Source organism: Homo sapiens, chromosome 10 (genome assembly GCF_000001405.40).
Source record: "Homo sapiens chromosome 10, GRCh38.p14 Primary Assembly".
In the NCBI taxonomy this organism is placed as follows: domain Eukaryota; kingdom Metazoa; phylum Chordata; class Mammalia; order Primates; family Hominidae; genus Homo; species Homo sapiens.
In genome coordinates this window covers 26127541-26146515 of record NC_000010.11, presented here as the reverse complement: position 1 = coordinate 26146515, position 18975 = coordinate 26127541, and the positions used below count along the sequence as shown (strand labels likewise).

Below are 18975 nucleotides of genomic sequence, written 5' to 3'. Positions count from 1 at the left end.
CAAGCCAGGAAGAGAGGCCTCCCAGATGCTAACCCCACTTAGAGCACTTTGATCTGTAAGCCTCCAAAACTGTCAAAAAAATAAATTTCTGTTGTTTAAGTCATGCAGCCTGTGATATTTTTGTTATGGCAGCCCGAGCAGACTAATAGATTGTTTCTTTAGATAACTTTAGATAACTTTAAGTTCTGTGTAATTTTATTTTTATGTATTTTTCATTTGATACATTCTTTCTTGATCTGAATATCCTCTTTGTCCTCCCATATTTATGACATCATTGTGAAAGAATGACCTGTCATTCTCTGCAGAAGGAAGGAAAGAGAGCATCCTCTGGGTCTAGGACAACAAATCTGAGGTTTTCTCTGCTGTGGGAATGTGTTTCTGTCAATGTAGAGACATTTCTTCCTCTAACTGCATCATAATCCATTCATCTGGCTTAGCTCAGTTATCTGACTGTACCTCCAGCCTGGCACCTTCTCTTCTTGAAAGGGAGGAGGGACAAAGAGTGCAGTAGAGAGAGAATCATCTAAAGTCTGAAAAAGGCAGTCTATACCAAAGGTCCTCAGGCATTGCTACAAGAAGGAAACAAATAGGTAACCATTGCCAGCTAATCTCACCGAAGGATTCTTTCAGTTTTGTGTCTTTTCTTTTTGTTTTTTCTTAGTTACTTAAAAATGATTCCTCTAGAAAAACTATAAACTTATGATTGTTAAACTAAGAGAAAGACTTTTCTTTTAACCTCTTCAGCATAGATGCTAGAAGCGCATGCCCTGGAGTGGGTCTGGCCTCCATAGTGAGTGGCTAGCAAAGGACAGGATGGATTACAGGACATCAGAGGGCATAATTAGGGCCAGTGGGGGCGGAAACAGACAGCTATGACATTATCATTATCTATAAACATTTTGGGCCATAATTTTCATGTCTATCCTATTATTCATTAAAAGGCTAAGGAGAAACTCAGTCATAATTCTTTAGAGTTCTTACCTTTCCTGCATAATGGTGAATTCCAAAACTAAGTTCCATTCTTTTGGGTCTCCAGAAGTATTGTGATTTCAGGTTACCTTCAAATTTTTCTGTAGAAAAATACTGAACTCAAATATCAAGCATGTATGAGATCCTCAAAAAATACTGCGAAAATTATTTACCATAAAAAGGACAATGTGCAGTGAACAAAGAAAATTTTACATAGCTAATATATGCAGATTTGGAATAGAATTATACATGGTAAAGTAAAACTCAAGATCATTAATTTCCACCATTACATTACGATTTAGGGCATCAGTCCTCAAGCCATGTCATGCATCAGAGTCACCTTGAGGGTTTTTTTTTTTTTTTTTTTGAGACAGAGTTTCGTTCTTGTTGCCCAGGCTGGAGTGCAATGGTGCGATCTTGGCTCACTGCAACCTCCACCTCCTGGATTCAAGTGATTCTCCTGCCTCAGCCTCCCAAGTAGCTGGGATTACAGGAGCCCGACACCATGCCTGGCTAATTTTTTATATTTTTAAAGTAGAGACAGGGTTTTGCCATGTTGGCCAGGCTGGTCTCGAACTCCTGACCTCAGGTGATCCACCTGTGTCGGCCTCCCAAAGTGCTGGGATTACAGGTGTGGGCCACTGCACCTGGCTGAGGGTTTATAACACAGGTTGTGGGCCCTAATCGCAGAGTTTCTGACTCAGTAGGTTTGGGGTGGGATCCAAGAATTTTCATTTCTAATAAGTTCTCAGGTGATGCTGATGTTCCTGGGCAGGGGACCACATTTTGAGAACCACTGGTACGGAGGAAGTAAACTACTTGAGACTGACCAAAGAGGTTTGTAAAACACAGTTTGATGTCAAGCCATGAGCCTAAAAATCTGGCGTTTTTGCTCTCTTTTCTACTTGTAGAGCTATAAATTATTATTGATTACATGAGAAATAAAACATGATCTTAAAGGCAGCTGAATTTCTATAACAATTTTGCCACCTTCGGAGAACTTATTCTAGAAGGATCATTTGATCTAAAAATCAACTGACTGCTATGAAATGATTTTCCCCACCACTTTGGGGTCAGTTTATTTTCCATCTAGTATTGTCCAATTTGAGGAGAAATTAAGCCAATCAGTGAGTCAGAAAGAAGGAACATCACAGACCTAATGGTAAGAAAGAGGCTCTACATGTCACCCAAAGTAAATGACAGAAAGATGTGAATCCACATTTTCTGAAAGTATTTCTCATACAGAATAAATACCTCCTATCATCAGGGAACACAATGTTCTGCGTTTAAAAACATTTTTTTTTCAGATATCTGAAAAATCTAGTTTTTTTTTCTTTTTTAATTTAAGGAGTAAGACATTTTCATTTTAACCAGCTTGAATGGTGATCTTTTAAAATGTATTATACATTTCTTTGCTTTCTCAAACACAAAAAATGAATACATTTAATCTTACTTTGATGACTTAGGATTATTATCATGAATATTTATTAATGTACTGTAACTTAGAGGTTATTAAGGTATTTGAAGTGATTTGCCTATATTAAATAAATGAATAGAACAGAACATCACAGATTAATTTATTTCCTACCTGTTAACTATCTCTTCTCAATTCCAGAGCTGTCCTTTTGCACTGCTCACCAATTTCTAATTTTGGGCTGGAAAATTTCTAAGGTCATTTATAACCTGTGATTCTATGGTTGAGCTTCACCACAAAATAAGGAGAAGTCCAATATTTAAACTTGCTTAATTTATCACTAAATATTTTACCCTATCATAAACATGCACTGGTCCAGGTATTAAATCCAAAGGCTCTTCTTTAAAGTCAAATATGCAGGCTTTGTGACAGCTATTTTCTTCCAGATAATTTAAAGCCATTTAAAAAATCATTCAGAATGACAAGACTCTATTCATAAAACCATGCAGACACACTGGACTGAAAACTCACCTACAAGAGTCTGGTCAGTGGCCTTGGGAAATCTACTTTCTTCATCAAGTAGGGAAAGTAAACCCATTGGCTTTTGCAGAAACATATCTAAGAGGGGCCAGTTATCCTCATATTCAATAACTCTAGCATCCACATCTTCATTTAGGTATTCATTCTATAATAAAGACAAAACCACTTAAAACTGTGAATAATATATAGCTTCATAGTAATTACCTAAAATTTTACTTTGCATATATTAAAATAAATTGCTCCCTTTGACCTTGCTTTTTTTGTGACGGAGACTCGCTCTGTCGTCCAGGCTGGAGTATATTGGCGCAATCTAGGCTCACTGCAACCTCTGCCTCCAAGGTTCAAGCAATTCTCCTGCCTCAGCTTCCCGAGTAGCTGGGATTACAGGCACACACCACCATGCCCGGCTAATTTTTATATTTTTAGTAGAGATGGGGTTTCACCATGTTGGCCAGGCTGGTCTCAAACTCCTGACCTCAAGTGATCCTCCCGCCTCAACCTCCCAAAGTGCTGGGATTACAGGCATGAGCCACCGCGCCCGGCCTGACCTTGCTCTTAAACTGAGAGTATCATTTTATTTTTCTCTCCACATTGCTGCTTGTTCCTTAAAGTCTGAACTGATTATACTCAGGGTAGTAATAAAAGAAGCTCTAGTCTCCATACTAGAATTATGGACATCCTAAGTTTTCAAGATGTAGGAAAATATGTTGTTAATGAGAAGTAACAAAATTATGTTCCAGACTTTACAGAATATTTAACTAGATACATCTTAGAGGTATACTTTCCCCACTGAATCTCTCAAGCACAGGTATATAACTTTTCAATCACAATTCCAGACATTTACGTAGTTACAAGACAGCAGAGAGTTATAGAAACAACCAGTGGATTTAGAACCAAGGACACATAGGTTCATCTCGGCTCTGCCACTTGCCTAGCCACAAAATCCTTTGGAATTTCCTTACTCTATAAACATCTATTTTCTAATCTATTAAATGGGGGTAACAAACCCCACTTCACAAAGTAAAAACATATGGCATATTAATAATAATTTGCTGTTGAGTATAGTGTAATATAAGATGTGTAAAATAGAAACAATGAACCACAGATAATTACTGTAGGGTTAAGGTACCAGCACAGCATAGGTACCTATGATCTACTTTACAAAAGGGACATGAAGGCTTGTGCCCAGTTGGCTTCTATGACTCTGCCTTTACACTGTCCCCAGCCCAGTGCTGAAGTCTGTCAGACAGAGTACATGTGTGACCTCTGAACTACGACATGCAGCCATGCTTGCATGTGGGGGAGTCACTGCTTCTCAGGTGATAAGCAACCATTCCTGGGTAAGTGTATAAATCAATCACTGACTCGAGTGGAACACTATGTGACATTCCCATGTTTAAATTACAGACCATTTTCATTGTTATTTTAATATATTCTTTAATTAATTGAATACTGAAGGCAAGGCATTATAGTGGATGACAGAGAAGTTTAAAACAAGCTCCCGGCCCTCCACAAAGTTCAAATATAATTTGAAATAATGTGAGTAACATAAGATGGATAGTTATGATGTATAATGTACTACAATAGTAAAGAGAAAGAAAAATTTCTGGGAACATCTGCAATGTAGCCAGTGGCAGGTGGGACATTTTGATAAGCCAGAGCTTTTAGTCACTATGGTAGGGGCCTTATGAAGCTGAAATTTCATTTCAAAGGTGTCACCAGGAAAAATAAATGCATATTTTTAAATAAAATGAAATCTAATGCATAAAAATGAGAAGAATAGATGGTCTAAAAGGTGGAGAACCTGAAAGGCATTTAGCTTATCCAGTATAAGAAAATGAAAACGATGACTTGAAGTTTCACAGCTTTTGTATTTGAAGGTAACCTTGGGAGAAGTGAGTAGACCTAGAATTATTTTACTGTTAGACACATCATGCTCACAGCATATTACAATTTAAATGGCAACTGCAAAGTTGAAAACAACTTTTGTCTGTTTTATACAGAAAGTACACGAGGTTAAGGTCTAAACTAATGCATTTGTCATTTCTATTTGCCTGTGTCAAAATCCACTGACTGTTTTTGTGGCGGGTTACACAGAGCAGAGATGAGTGGCGTGGAAAACAATGGGCTCCCATTCAAGACACTTGTTAGTATTAGGGACTTCAGGCAAACCAAGGAAGAAAAAAACGCTATTACTCAGAATTTATAAAATACTTATAGCAAAATTATAATGCCTAAAATAATTATGTATTATATAGCAGTTATGATCCCAAAATACTTAGTTGTTTTCAAGCATATGGAGAAAGAAAGCTCCTATTTCTTCAGAAAGTCCTCTGCTCTGCCCTGTACATTAAAAATATATTTAGGTACCGGCACAGTGGCACATGCCTGTAATCCCAGCACTTTGAGAGGCTGAGGCAGGCAGATCACGAGGTCAGAAGATCGAGACCATCCTAGCTGTCACAGTGAAACCCCATCTCTACTAAAAATACATAAAATTAGCCGGGTGTGGTGGTGGGTGCCTGGAGCCCCAGCTACTCAGGAGACTGAGGCAGGAGAATGGCGTGAACCTGGGAGGGAGAGGTTGTAGTGAGCCGAGATTGCGCCACTGCACTCCAGCCTGGGCGACAGAGCGAGACTCCATCTCATAAAACAAAAAACAAACAAACAAACAAACACATATACATTTAAAGCATAAGGTGAGCAGAGTTACTAACTGTATTAAAGCTGAAGTGTTTAGCTAATGTAATTCCTACTCTCTTCAGACTGTCTGAGTTCCCTTTTGAAAATAGATGAATAATCATTTTATATATATTTTCTTCAGGAAAATCATTAGATTTAGATGTTAGGAAATCCCACACCTGGACAAAGTTGTCCCTTGTTTTTCTTCTTCTTTTTTTTTTTTTTTGAGACAGAGTCTCGCTCTGTCACCCAGGCTGGAGTACAGTGGTGTCATCTCGGCTCACTGCAACTTCCACTTCCCGGGTTCGAGTAATTCTACCTGCTTCAGCCTCCCGAGTAGCTGGGATTACAGGCACCTGCCATCATGCCCAGCTAATTTTTGTACTTTTAGTAGAGACGGGGTTTCACCATATTGGCCAGGCTGGTCTTGAACTCCTGACCTCAGGTGATCCACCTGCCTCAGCCTCCCAAAGTGCTGGGATTACAGGCGTGAGCCACCGTGCCCAGCCTCTCCCTTGTTTTTCATTGAATTTTGAGTCTGAGTCATGAAGCAGCACAGTGGCAGGAAAGCCCACAGAAGCTTGGCCTAAACAACCAGCTTAAATATTTAGGGCCAAACGGCCATTCCAGGAGAGATTCAAGATGATTACATTGAGCCCTCAGACTTGCACAGCAGCATGGAAGGGTGGTCACCATGGGCTGAGACAGGCTGCAAGCGTCCACATGGCTTGTAAATCAGGTGCAAATTTAAGCACAGATTTCTCAGCACAGATGAGTAATACAATGAGGGTTCACTTTCATCATTCAGGTCTCACCTCCTCAGAGAGACCTTCCTTCATCTTCCTAATTCAGCAATTTCCCTTCCTTAACTGGTCACTCTCCATGCACTCTACCATGCTCTGGGGTACTGCTTTGTGCATCAAGCTTTTCTGTATTTTCTATTACATCTTAAAACTGATTAGATGATCACATGGTATGAACATTTTACAGGCACCTGAAACGTGTTTGTAGATTGACTTTTTTTTTTTAGACAATCTGTTGCCCAGGCTGGTGTGCAGCGGCATGATCTCAGCTCCCTGCAACCTCTGCCTCCTGGGTTCAAGTGATTGTCCTGCCTTGGCCTCTAGAGTAGCTGGGATTACAGGCGTGCCTGGCTAATTTTTGTATTTTTAGTAGAGTTGGGTCTTGCCCTGTTGGCCAGGCTGGTCTCAAACGCCTGACCTCAAATGATTCCCCCACCGCACCCCAACCTTGGCCTCCCAAAGTGCTGGGATTATAGGCATGAGCCACCGTACCTGGCCATAGATGGATTTTTGAAAGCTTGAAGAAACTGCACTCTAATAATAAACACTTCTAACTTGCTGCATCCTCACCAGCAATGAATATTTTCATTAAAATATTTTTAATCCTTTGGGAGGCTGAGGCGGGCAGATCACCTGAGGTCAGGAGTTCAAGACCAGCCTGACCAACATGGAGAAACCCCATCTCTACTAAAAATACAAAATCAGCTGAGTGTGGTGGCTCATACCTGTAATCCCAGCTACTTGGGAGGCTGAGAAAGAAAATCACTTGAACCCAGGAGGTGGAGGTTGTGGTGAGCCGAGATCATGCCATTCATTGCACTCCAGCCTGGGCAACAAGAATGAAACTCCATCTCAAAAAATATATATATTTTTAATCTATTTTTGATGGGGGAAATTGTAGCCTATTGTATTTGCATTTCTTTGATTATGTATTTACTTAAGAGGATAGATTTTGGGGGAAATAAAGTAGATACATGCTTAGCACATACTACATACTTAATGCCTGTCAGCTATTATTAGGAGTATTATTGTTTTGAAACCACATAATAAGAAACATGACGTGTTTTGGACTCAGAGGCTTCCTTACAGCATCAGTTGTTGTGATGTTGCTGACGATTTGTGAAGCTAGCAATCAGACAGAGTTAAATGAAGGGAAAGGCTCCAGGACTTTCTTGAAAACATCCTTGGTGTCAGGTTGATGTTTGCTCCCTGGTCTCTTTCCCATTTCCTTCTGTGTGTCCTCTTGGTTGTGGGACAACATTCCACAGGAATCCATTCATGAAGCTGGCATTTGAGTGACTTTCCTGGGGAAATCATCCTCTTGAGTTTGATCTCAGTGGACTGACTTGACAAGGGCAGTCACAACATCAGCTATGGTTTCTGTAGCCCTCGCCTGCAGGTCTAGACTCCTTCCTTGTCAGCTTGCTCACACTGCTTCTATTGCTCTTGCATTGCCTCTCTGTGGCATACGAAGTAAGACTTCTCTTGCCTTTCAATAATATGAGTCATTTTGAAGAAAAATGTAAGCCCCAAGCTTGGAAATTTTTCCTTCTATCACCATGATGATGATATTATTATCATAACATAATCTTATCAGAAGGTTCTTGAGATATGACAAGCTACAGTCTTCAAGTGTTCCTTAGAATTTGACTTTTAACAGAATTCTAAAACATTGTTAGAAGTCAGATTTCTAATAATAAAAAATACAGTTGGAAGACCTAAATGAGGTACCATTAGTTGGGAAGATGGACTAGAATAATGGTGAACTATCGGGGGAACCTGCCCCCAATATTTCAACGTAGGTTCTTTCTATTTTCCATAAGTGTCAGCTGGCTGATAAATAAAGATAAACAGTACAAGGAGAGGAATTTTACAGCTGGGCCACTGGGGGTGACCTCACATATCAGTAGGACCGTGATGCCCACCTGAGCCTTAAAGCCAGCAAGTTTTATTAAGGATTTCAAAAGGGGAGGCAGTGCAAGAACAGGGAGTAGGTCACAAAGATCACATGCTTCAAAGCGCAAAAAGGAGAATGAAGATCACATGCTTCTGAGGAAACAGGACAAGGGCAAAATCAGAAACTCCTGATAAGGGTCCAACAAAGATCACAAGGCAAAGGGTAAAAGCAGAATTACTGATAAGGGTCTATGTTCAGCAGTGCACATATTGTCTTGATAAACATCTTAAACAACAGAAAACAGGGTTTGAGAGCAGAGAACCAGTCTGACCTCAAATTTACCAGGGTGGGGTTTTTCCCCACTCCAGTAAGCCTGAGGGTACTGCAGGAGACCAGGGCATATCTCAGTCCTTATCTCAACCACATAGGACAGACATTCCCAGAGCAGCCGATTATAGACCTCCCCCAGGAATGAATTCCTTTCCCAGAGTATTAATCCTTGCTAGGAAAATAATTTAGTGATGTCTTCCTTACTTGCATGTCCATTTATAGGCTCTCTGCAAGAAGAAAAATATGGCTCTTTTTGCCCGACCCTGCAGGCAGTCAGACCTTATGGTTGTCTTCCCTTGTTCCCTAAAATCGCTGTTATTCTGTTCTTTTTCAAGGTGCACTGATTTCATATTGTTCAAACACACGTTTTACAATCAATTTGTACAGTCAACACAATTATTACAGTGGTCCTGAGGTGACACACATCCTCAGCTTACAAAGATAACAAGATTAAGAGATTAAAGTAAGACAGGCATAAGAAATTATGAAAGTGTTATTTGGGAACTAGTAAATGTCTATGAAATCTTCACAATTTATGTTCCTCTGCCGCAGCTCCAGCTTGTCCCTCCATTCAGGGTCCCTGACTTCCCGCAACAGTGAACTATTTCAAATCTTTGTTTCCTTAGTTGAAGTTCTGAAATTACCCATGTCTGGAATAATTTAAAATATAGAATAACCTACATTTCTAGTTCACAAATAACTTTAGCACTCAGAAATGAATATTTATTGCCCTTCTATGTAGTACCTAAATCTTTAAGAATCAACAATAATTTTATTTTTTATATAGTCTCATCACCTACATTAGTACACACCAGACCAATCAACCTGTACTTACTGGGTCTTTTTTTTTTGTTTTGTTTTTTGAGACAGAGTCTTGCTCCGTGGCCCAGGCTGGAGTGCAGTGGCACGAACTCTGCTCACTGCAAACTCTGCCTCCTGGGTTCAAGCAATTCTCATGCCTCAGCCTCCTGAGTAGCTGGGTACAGGCACATGCCACCATGCCCCACTAATTTTTGTATTTTTATTACAGATGGAGTTTCACCATGTTGGCCAGGCTGGTCTCAAACTCCCGGGCCTCAAGTGATCCTGCTGACCTTGGCCTCCCAAAGTGCTGGCATTACAGGTGTGAGCTGCCATGCCCAGCCAATCTGTACTTAGTGTGTTTTTATTTCTTAGCACCAATCCAGATAGCAGTAGATGAACACTGCTTAAGTAGGCTGACTACATCCTCAAGTAAAAAATAGACAGGTTCTAGAACAGTCTTCTCCCCACTCCCTCTGACACACCACCTCATCATTTTACTATAGGAGAACACTCTCTACTACCTTCTGACAGTTTTATCCAAGCCCAAAGTTTTAAAAAGATTCTTCCAAAGTCACCAATTGAAGTGATTTGAGGACTTTGGCTCGTGACATCTTTCTTTTATAAAAGGCTGGTATATGCAGTGACAGGGAACACTTAGTTCTTTCACAGAACTTACACCTGGGGAACAATGTCATAGCCTTCTCTGATAGGCAAGTTCACCATTTGACACTGCTCCACAGTTGTAGATATTTCAGAATGGGGAAATGTTAATAGCTGGTATATATGACCCTCAATATTCTCCTGTGTTTGTTTTCAAGTCATAAATCAGTATCTCTTATTTTTATAAGTTTAGTCCACTTTTTTATGGTCCTACCCATTTTAGGTCAAGGAAGGAAGAATGAGATTTATATCATGAGATGGCACTGGCAATTCACCTGGGTTTGTGATGCTGTCTTTGTACAGATCACTGGAGAGGATGTGATATACTCAAATTCCAGAAATGTTCGAGGAGTGCCTACTCTGTGTGTGGTTAGGGGTAGATGGGGCCGGGGAAGGTAGAATTTAAAGATCAGAAAGATAGAGTTTCTGTTCTTTTTTTTTTTTTTTTTTGAGATGGAGTTTTGCTCTTTCACCCAGGCTGGAGTGAAGTGGACCCAGTCTCAGCTCACTGCAACCTCTGGCCCCTGGGTTCAAGCGATTCTTCTGCCTCAGCCTCCCGAGTAGCTGGGATTCTAGACACCCACCACCATGCCCGGCTAATTTTTGTATTTTTAGTAGAGATGAGGTGTCGCCATGTTGGCCAGGCTGGTCTCAAACTCCTGACCTCAGGTGATTCAGCCTCCCAAAGTGCTGGGATTACAAGCGTGAGCCACTGCGCCCGGTCGAGTTTCTGTTCTTTAGGACATGGCAAAGATGCTCTCTGCCTTTCCATTCCAACCCTAAAATCATGTCTGAGATTTCTTTGCTTGTGGCTGTATTCTCCTTTTCAGTTGTTCCACCTTCTAGTTCTAGTTCCTTCCTGTGAGGGGTCTCCAGCTGTCACAACCCTTGCCAGCCTCTGCTGCCAGCCTAAGTGCTCCCTGGGATTTCCTGCCTTCTTTTATCCTGCCTTATGTTGATTCTCCTTGGCTTTTCATGTTAAGACTGACTTATGCTTCTTTTCTTTCCTTCTTTCTAATCCAACAGAAATAATCTAATAATTAAATAATAATTTATATTTATGAATTAATAACCTAATAATCTAATAGATTATTCTAATAAAGTAATATCCTATGAAGAAGAAAAAGGTGCTCTTATCTATTTAGAAAGAAAGAAGGAAAGAGCACCTTTTTCTTCTGCACAGGAGATTACTTTACTAGATCCCTGTTCTTTGCTTACTTGTTTGTTCATGAGAAAAACCATGGATAGCTGTCAGAAGCCCTTTACTCTGGTCCTGGTTTCATTTCACTGTCCTATAACCTTGGGCAAATCACAGTTGAGGAGAGGGAGTCATTTTAATCAATGAAATATAGATAACCTATTTAGGTTTCTTCTAATATTTCAGAATGCACAACTGCTTGGATATGTTATAAAACTCAATGAATAAATGTGGTTAAGACTGTGGACAGAACGTTTGCAACAGGAAAGAAGCTACATAGACATATATAGTCCCTGAAGTCTGTATTTTAGTAAAAGAACTCTTACTCACCCCTGCTCAAATGAGTGTGCCTATTCATGAAAACATTGCCCAGGGTAGAGAGAAACCATTGAGAAGAAGTTGCTTATTCTAACCATTGACAAAAATCCTCCTTTATCAAACAGAAAGATTTTAAAGGTTGAAAATCTAAGATTTCTTTAAGGGTGCTACCATAACTCAGGATGAACTGAGTATGTTTTATGTTTATTACAGTGAAAAAAAAACTTTTGCCACTTTTCATTTTGAAATAATTTAAAACTTACAGAAAATTTCAAGAATAGTACAAAGAACTCCTGTGTACCCTTTACATGGTGTTTATTCCACAATTGTTAAGCTTCATCATGTTTGATTTTTCATTCTCTCTTTCTATATACACATATTTTAATAATACTTTAATGAAATAACTTTTTTAAATTCTAAAAAACAGTGATAATACTTGTCCTGTAAAAACGTGAACTCTTGTTATGAAATAAGATTTATGATTTGAAATCTATTTCTTCCTGTATTTTCTATTTGAAGCTGATATTGATGATCCTGTTAGTTTTTATGTTAATGTTAATAGCAAGTCACAGAGAATGCTGGCCATCATTAACTTGAGATGACACAAGTCATTAATTCAGAATATGACAAATAACCTAATGAGAAAGTATTTTGGATAATTCCTAATAAAATATTCATGTTTTATTTTACATCCATTTTACTAAAATTTGAAGAGATGAGTTTTAGAATATTTCTCCCTACAGCAGCTTCCTTATTCAGAAAAAAATATATATACTAATGCATGCTAAGATGAAAATTCCAATTTAGTCACTTTTTGGATATGATACCTGTTTCTCAAAACTATTTAAGAGACATAAAGGATTTTACAAATTTATATTCTATTAATAGGTATCAGCTTAGAATAAGGAGGCATTTGGATTAGAAATTCAGAAATACAGTGTTCTGTATATCAGGATCTCTTTCACCTTAAACTATTTTTCCATTACTGCCATGTTTAAATCTTTACCAAAAAATTGTATTTTGGTTTGTCAATAGTATGCTCTAACCTCACATGTAGAAAACGACAGTACTATCATATGGATCTAGACTTCTAACTATGTATTTCACTGAGAATTACTTTTTATCAAAACTTCTGAAAATTTAGCCAGGTATGGTGGTACACGCCAGTGGCCCCAACTACTCAGGAGGCTGAGGTAGGAGGATGACTTGAACTCAGGAGTTCGATGCTACAGTGAGTCTTGATTGTGCCACTGCACTCTAGTTTGGGCAGCAGGGCAAGACCCCAACTCAGAAAAGAAAAAAAACCTTTTAAATTTAAGAATATCATTAAATCATCAAAATAAGTACCACAAATCCCCACATCACATTAAGGGTGTCGACCAAACTTCACCAATGAAAGAGAAACAGACTAAGTGTGCTACGCAGCTGCCTAGCAGGGATGAGGAACACAGAGCCTGAGAGGCCGTCTGCGAAGCCAGAGGGAGAGAAGAGCAACAGGTCCACAGCCCAGAGCTGCTGCAAGGGTCCCGAAACACCTCCAACCAACCAACCACGTGGACATCAGCTGCCATCTTCAGTGTGTGAAACATTTAAGGAATATTTAATAACCTAACACTTGGTCAAGCACTTAAAAAGGAAGATTTGTTGTATTAAGGGCTTCTCAAATGTATTTGGCTGCTTTGACACTTAAAGGAAATGCTTATCACTTGGAGAGCTAAAATGGGACAAATGTTACCATTTGCACACATATGACTTAATAGGGAAGAAAGTTGAACTTAAAATAATAATTCACACTTTTGAGCAAAACAATGTGAAGACACTGATAAGGGGGTTATTTTTAATCATCCACACATTTTTAAAAATCAAATGACTGGTTTTTACTTTATAATGTAAAAAGTTTTGAAAATGTAGGTATTTTATATTAAGTGAATTTTTATTCTTTGTAATTGCCACAAATTATGTGTTGGAGCCCACATTTAAAATCTCAAACACTGTAAACTTTAGAATGTGAGCAGCTGGAGATGAGAGTCATACACATTACTTTCTGCAAGAGAAGCTAGAGCCATAATTGCAGTTATTGTTTCCATTATGTGCTGTAAATAGTAATAGTTTCCTGCTTCTAAAACTACTTCTGACATTCAGTTCCAAACCCATAGATGCATGTCTAAATGATGTCTGTAAAAGCTCATCCTTCTACAGAAATAAATAGTAATAGCTCATTTAAAAAAAAAAACTTTAGTTCAGTTAATAGTCAGATGTGCTGCTCTAATGGATGAAGAAAGCTTATCCAAAATACAAATAGGCACACATAAATAAGTGGAGTGAATTTTCAGGATTCTAGATCAATACGCTGTAGCATCATACACATGTTCTAGGTGCTCACTGGCCCTTAAGAACAGTGGCATTTGTTCCAATTCAAAGTCATGCCCAGGATTGACCAGTCCTTGGTATGTACTCCCCTTGATTTGAAGTATAAACTTCTAGGGAGCAGGGAGCATTTCTTTTGTATGTTCTATACCACAATGATGATACCACAGTGCAAAATTAAGACAAAGGACAAAAACCACCACTACAGCAGCTGCATGAGAACACTTTTGACAAGGTATGTACATTTCTCATGTGGGATTCTAATATGAGATAGGTGATTCCAGAGAACTTCAGTCGTTATATCACAGTTTGATTACTGTTAAGCTCCCTTTCCGACGGAAGAAAACCACAAAACAAACAAACAAAACCAAAACCTTGGCTACATATTTATCGTGGAAATTCAGCATGAGGGCTATTGTGAAAAAAACACTTCCTTTCTTGGCAATGGAATACTGCCATTTGAGCTGCAAAATAAAAGCCTCTCAGAAAATGGAAGTTGACAGTGTATGACACAATAATGGTGTACGAATGTAATAGCGAAGGCTGAAATATGAATACTATATTTGTGGAATTGATACAATTGAGAGTAAATTATATACTTTTTGGCTGCAACTCATTTAGAAGGGGTTGAGTCTTAAATTTTAAAATAATTACAACTATACTTCTTGGCTGATCATCTTCTATTTGCAGGGTGGGGACATAGATTACCATCTAATTTTCAAACTATTGAGATACAAATAGTATCTTTAGATTTCATTAAAATAAATATACATAAAATTATTCTCCCAGTGCCGGGAAACTGTAAAAGCTTCAAATACTATAAAATATCAAACTCCAGGAAAATTTTAGGAGCTACATATTTTACACATAGAAAAATAATGCTTCTATACACAAGCTCTCTTAACATTCTAAATATCTAGATAATAAGGAAAATAAAGGGATACAAAGTGGATGCTCCAGGTTGTTACTAAGAGATTCTGAGGCATATAGTAACTGTCCATGGGAAAGCAGGCTATAAGAGAAAGGAGGTATAGCTGCCAGTGAGTGGATAATAGAGATTCCTGGATTTAGGAAAATGTTTCAAAGGTAATGCAAACAGGTGGAAACAATTCCAAGAAACATAAAACTATCTACTCTGCATGCTATAGATTGGGTCACCATCATAAATTCTTTCACAAAAAAATGTTTTACTGTAGTTTCTTGATCTTTTTTTAATGGAAGGCAATGGGAAAATGATATTATGATATTCAAAATACCATTGTAAACAGCTTTGCTGGAGTGTCCCACTGTCTATTACAAATACACTGAAATTGGACTAAATAGGAAAATGCTTTCAGCAGACTGTTATTTATGTTCCAGTGTTGTACAACTGTCAATAAAAATAATGTTTATTGGTTTAAGCAGGAACAGAGGTGTTTCATCTGTAAAGGTGCTGCCCAAGACTTGTGCCGAGATCTGGCCGGATCATTTGTAAGTCTCATGAAAGTAAGAACACTATTTCTTTCTGAAATAATAGGCAATAATGGCTCTATTAAACTAAGGAGCTCTCAGTTAGGTCAAATCTGTAATTATATTCGACCAAAAAATGTAGACCAAGACTTTAATTCAAGATTTAATAGCAGTTTCTCATTTACAGAAATTAGTGTAAGTGTGCTCTTTGTCTGTGATAGCTACATACAATTAGTTAGCTTTTCTCAGTTACATTTTCAGCATTCACCTGGGAGTTAGAAAGAAAAAACAAGTACACTCACGTGTTAAAATCAAGAGAGTCATTGACTAATTCTGTATCTTCTGGATAACACATTCAGCAATCTGATCATACTCAACTGCCAATGTCTGGTTCATAAGACTATGAAGCAGAAATTCCTAGATAGTTATTCTAGGAAGGCACCTGAAAGGACTGGAAATTGTTTTAATTCCTCAAAATGCTTTGTATAATCCTGGATTCTAGTTGAATGTTTTATTTTGTTGGGGGAAATTTTGAGTTGTTTTATTTCAAAATCCTCTCAAGGGTATCTTAAAGGGCTTTATAGAATAAGTTTTGTAACAAGCCCTTAGACAAAAGAATTAAGAGCATTGGGATCATGAATGAAATTCAAGGCCAGCAATCAAAGCAACTTGTAGGCCAGGATTGGTGGCTCATGCCTGTAATCACAGAACTTTGGGAGGCCGAGACAGGCAGATTGCTGAGCCTGAGCCCAGGATTTCAAGACCACCCTGGCCAAAATGGTGAAACCCCGTTTCCATGAAAAAATGCAAAAATTAGCCAGGTGTGGTGGTGCATGCCTGTGGTCCCAGCTACTTGGGAGGCTGAGGCAGAAGGATTGCTTGAGCCTGGGAGGCGCAGGCTGCAGTCAGCCAACACCACCCCACTGCACTACAGCCTGGGTGACAGAGTGAGACTCTGTTTCAAAAAAAAAAAAGCAATTTGTAAACTAACATTTTATAAACAGTGAAAAGCAATAATTATTGAAATATCTGTACCTTGGTTAAGGCTAAAACCAGAGTCTACCCAACCACCAAAAGAACAACAGAGATCTACCAATGCAAGTCACTAATTCATCACATGAGCAATGCATGGGGATACACCTGGTCCCATAAAGTTAGCAATTCTGATAGATCATATCAAAAAGTTCAAACCAAAAATTTTTTACTTGTTTTGGTCTCTGGTTCAAATGGATGCTGTGAGTATTGTGAAGCATTAAAGCAAGGCAACATTACTTATTGAACACTTGCTACGTGTCAGCCTCTAAAAAGACAAAAAGAATTAAGACACAATATATGATCTAAAGGAGATGCCTAGTGAGAAAGACAAAAATGAACTAATGACTGATGAGATGAGGAAGGGCCATTCCAGGGGAATTGGGGAGGTCACAGCCAGATACGCCTCAAAGTACCAGATGGGGAAGGAAGAAACGCAATGCAGTGAGTGCTGAACATGCTTTCAAGGAGCTTGGCTGTGAGGGGAAAAGAGAGGACCATGCTACAGAGATAAGCAGAGTGGAAAAGGGCTTTGTTTTTTATTCTGTTTGCTTTTAAGATTTTAAAGATATTTCTTCGCATATCTAGGCTATGGGAGGGCACCGACAGAGAGGAGCAGAGGAGACAAGAAGAGGAAGAGAGGGAGAGGGAATGAATATTTGATGGAACATCCTGGGATAGATGAAAAAGAGCTGAACAACTAGATAAGGTCTTAAATTTATGTCTTCTTTTGGCTTAAGAAATGTCAAAATCGAAATGTTTTATTTTGTGACCACTGTTTTCAAAATGTAATTCCAAAATAAACTCTTAAGAAGCCTAAATATTTTGAATAAAATGAAGTTCATGTACCTCTAATTTAAATGCAAAACAATATAATATTACTTGAAGGAGAAAAATGACATACTGGATGATATTAAATATGACTCCTTTAGATTTAATAAAATAATTTAAGTATTCTTAGTATTACAGTACATCAAATGTGATTTAAGTCTGATTTTTCTCTAAGGAGGAATATTTTTTGAAGCTGATTCATAAATTACACATTGTACCCTGACAAAATGATCATTTCATGGCATTTGCATCAAACCCATTATCTTATATTCTGTTGCCTAGCTACTGGAATTCTGAAGTTTAATGGCTTTTAGCTGGATATTGAAATTTCAAAAGGAATTTCAGCTATGTAGTCTACAGAAAGAAAAACTGTTGGACGCATCTGTCTACTTAAATTTTCAAAGGAAATATCTTCGTTTACAAAGGCTCAGAATTCTAAGTTTTGGAGAAGAGTGTACCGATTTTCAATGGAGGACATTTAACATCACATATCAGTCACACTAAATTCACACCAGTTTTTTTGTTTTTGTTTGTTTTTACTATGGACGTGGAGATAATAAAAATCTTTTGTCTTTCTAAAATGTTTAAGGCATTAAATCTATGGTTAAGGTCCTGCTTCATTTGTACAAGTCTGCCTATAATACATGCATGCATGCATATTTATAGTAAGTACTTAGACTTACCTGTTCCCATGCAAACACATGTTGATTATAATAATACTGAATTTGTTCATTTGCAATGTTAATGCACAGCTGCTCGAAGGAATTTTTTTTGAAATTTTCAAAGCCAAATATATCAAGAATGCCAATGCTCAGCTCATCACCATTCCCACTAGAAGAATTGAAGAGGCATTATTTTGAGTTATTTCCTGAAGAGGTAATGTAAAACAGGGAATCTTAGAGTTACCATTTGTGACTGAGCTAAGAAACTACTATAAGAACATACACTTAGAGTGAAACTTTCTTAACTGAAATAGCTTCTCTCTGTAGCACATAAAGATAACGGCAGATATTGATTTTTATATGAAAATGAAACAATATTTTCCTTGAACTACAGAAACCACTCCGATACTTTTATACACTGAAACAAAAGAAACTTTTTCTTCTCCTAAGAACAAAGTCACAGGCTTGAGTGAGTCAGGAATTACAAGAACAACTTGGGAAGCAATTAGAACACAGCAAAAACATATTCAATAAAAACTCTCCCAGGAAAGCAAAAATTCTGTTAAAAAGTATAGTCTTTCATTTTAGGAGAACAATTTTGAAAATCTTACTAAAAAGATCTTAATTATTTTAAAGAATTGTTATTTGTTTTTGGATCATTTGCTTATAATTTTTTAATATAGAACAAATGGCAAACTGGAGAAATACAAATACATAGGGATTTATTTTTACATTTAAATACTTTAAAATATAATTAAATTTTATTTTACAATTAAGTATTTCAAATACTTTTTTTTTTTTTTACTATTGGTCAAAAGGTTTACTCCTCCCCAAAGAAATATATACATTGTAGAGTTATTTTGATGTGAATTATAAAAAGAAAGTACAAAAGCTTCTCTTTGTGTTCATCATTTAGGTGTTCCAGGGTTACACTTAGTATTATGTAAGGAAGTGATTTGGAAATGACAGTCAGCAACTGCACACTGTGACCTGAAGGATCCGCTCTACATTTGGAGGAA

The 18975-nt window shown here is 37.9% G+C and overlaps 1 protein-coding gene across 22 annotated transcripts in view; it reads right to left on the bottom strand.

Moving 5' to 3' along the window:
• Nucleotides 1-18975, bottom strand: part of MYO3A (myosin IIIA) — a 278304-nt gene that overhangs the window by 66017 nt on the left and 193312 nt on the right. For 21 of the 22 annotated variants that reach the window (XR_930494.1, XM_011519498.3, XM_011519500.3 and 18 more), the window contains 3 exons: nt 17978-18125; nt 2915-3068; nt 982-1070 (listed from right to left, as the gene is read on the bottom strand). Coding sequence is in view for 21 of the 22 variants with exons in the window: in XM_011519498.3 (XP_011517800.1) it covers nt 982-1070; nt 2915-3068; nt 17978-18125 (391 nt within the window). In the remaining variant the exon portion in view is untranslated. Of the gene's footprint in view, nt 1-981; nt 1071-2914; nt 3069-7495; nt 8318-17977; nt 18126-18975 lie in introns of those variants that run through there. The other variant, XM_011519513.3, reaches the window with a different exon arrangement.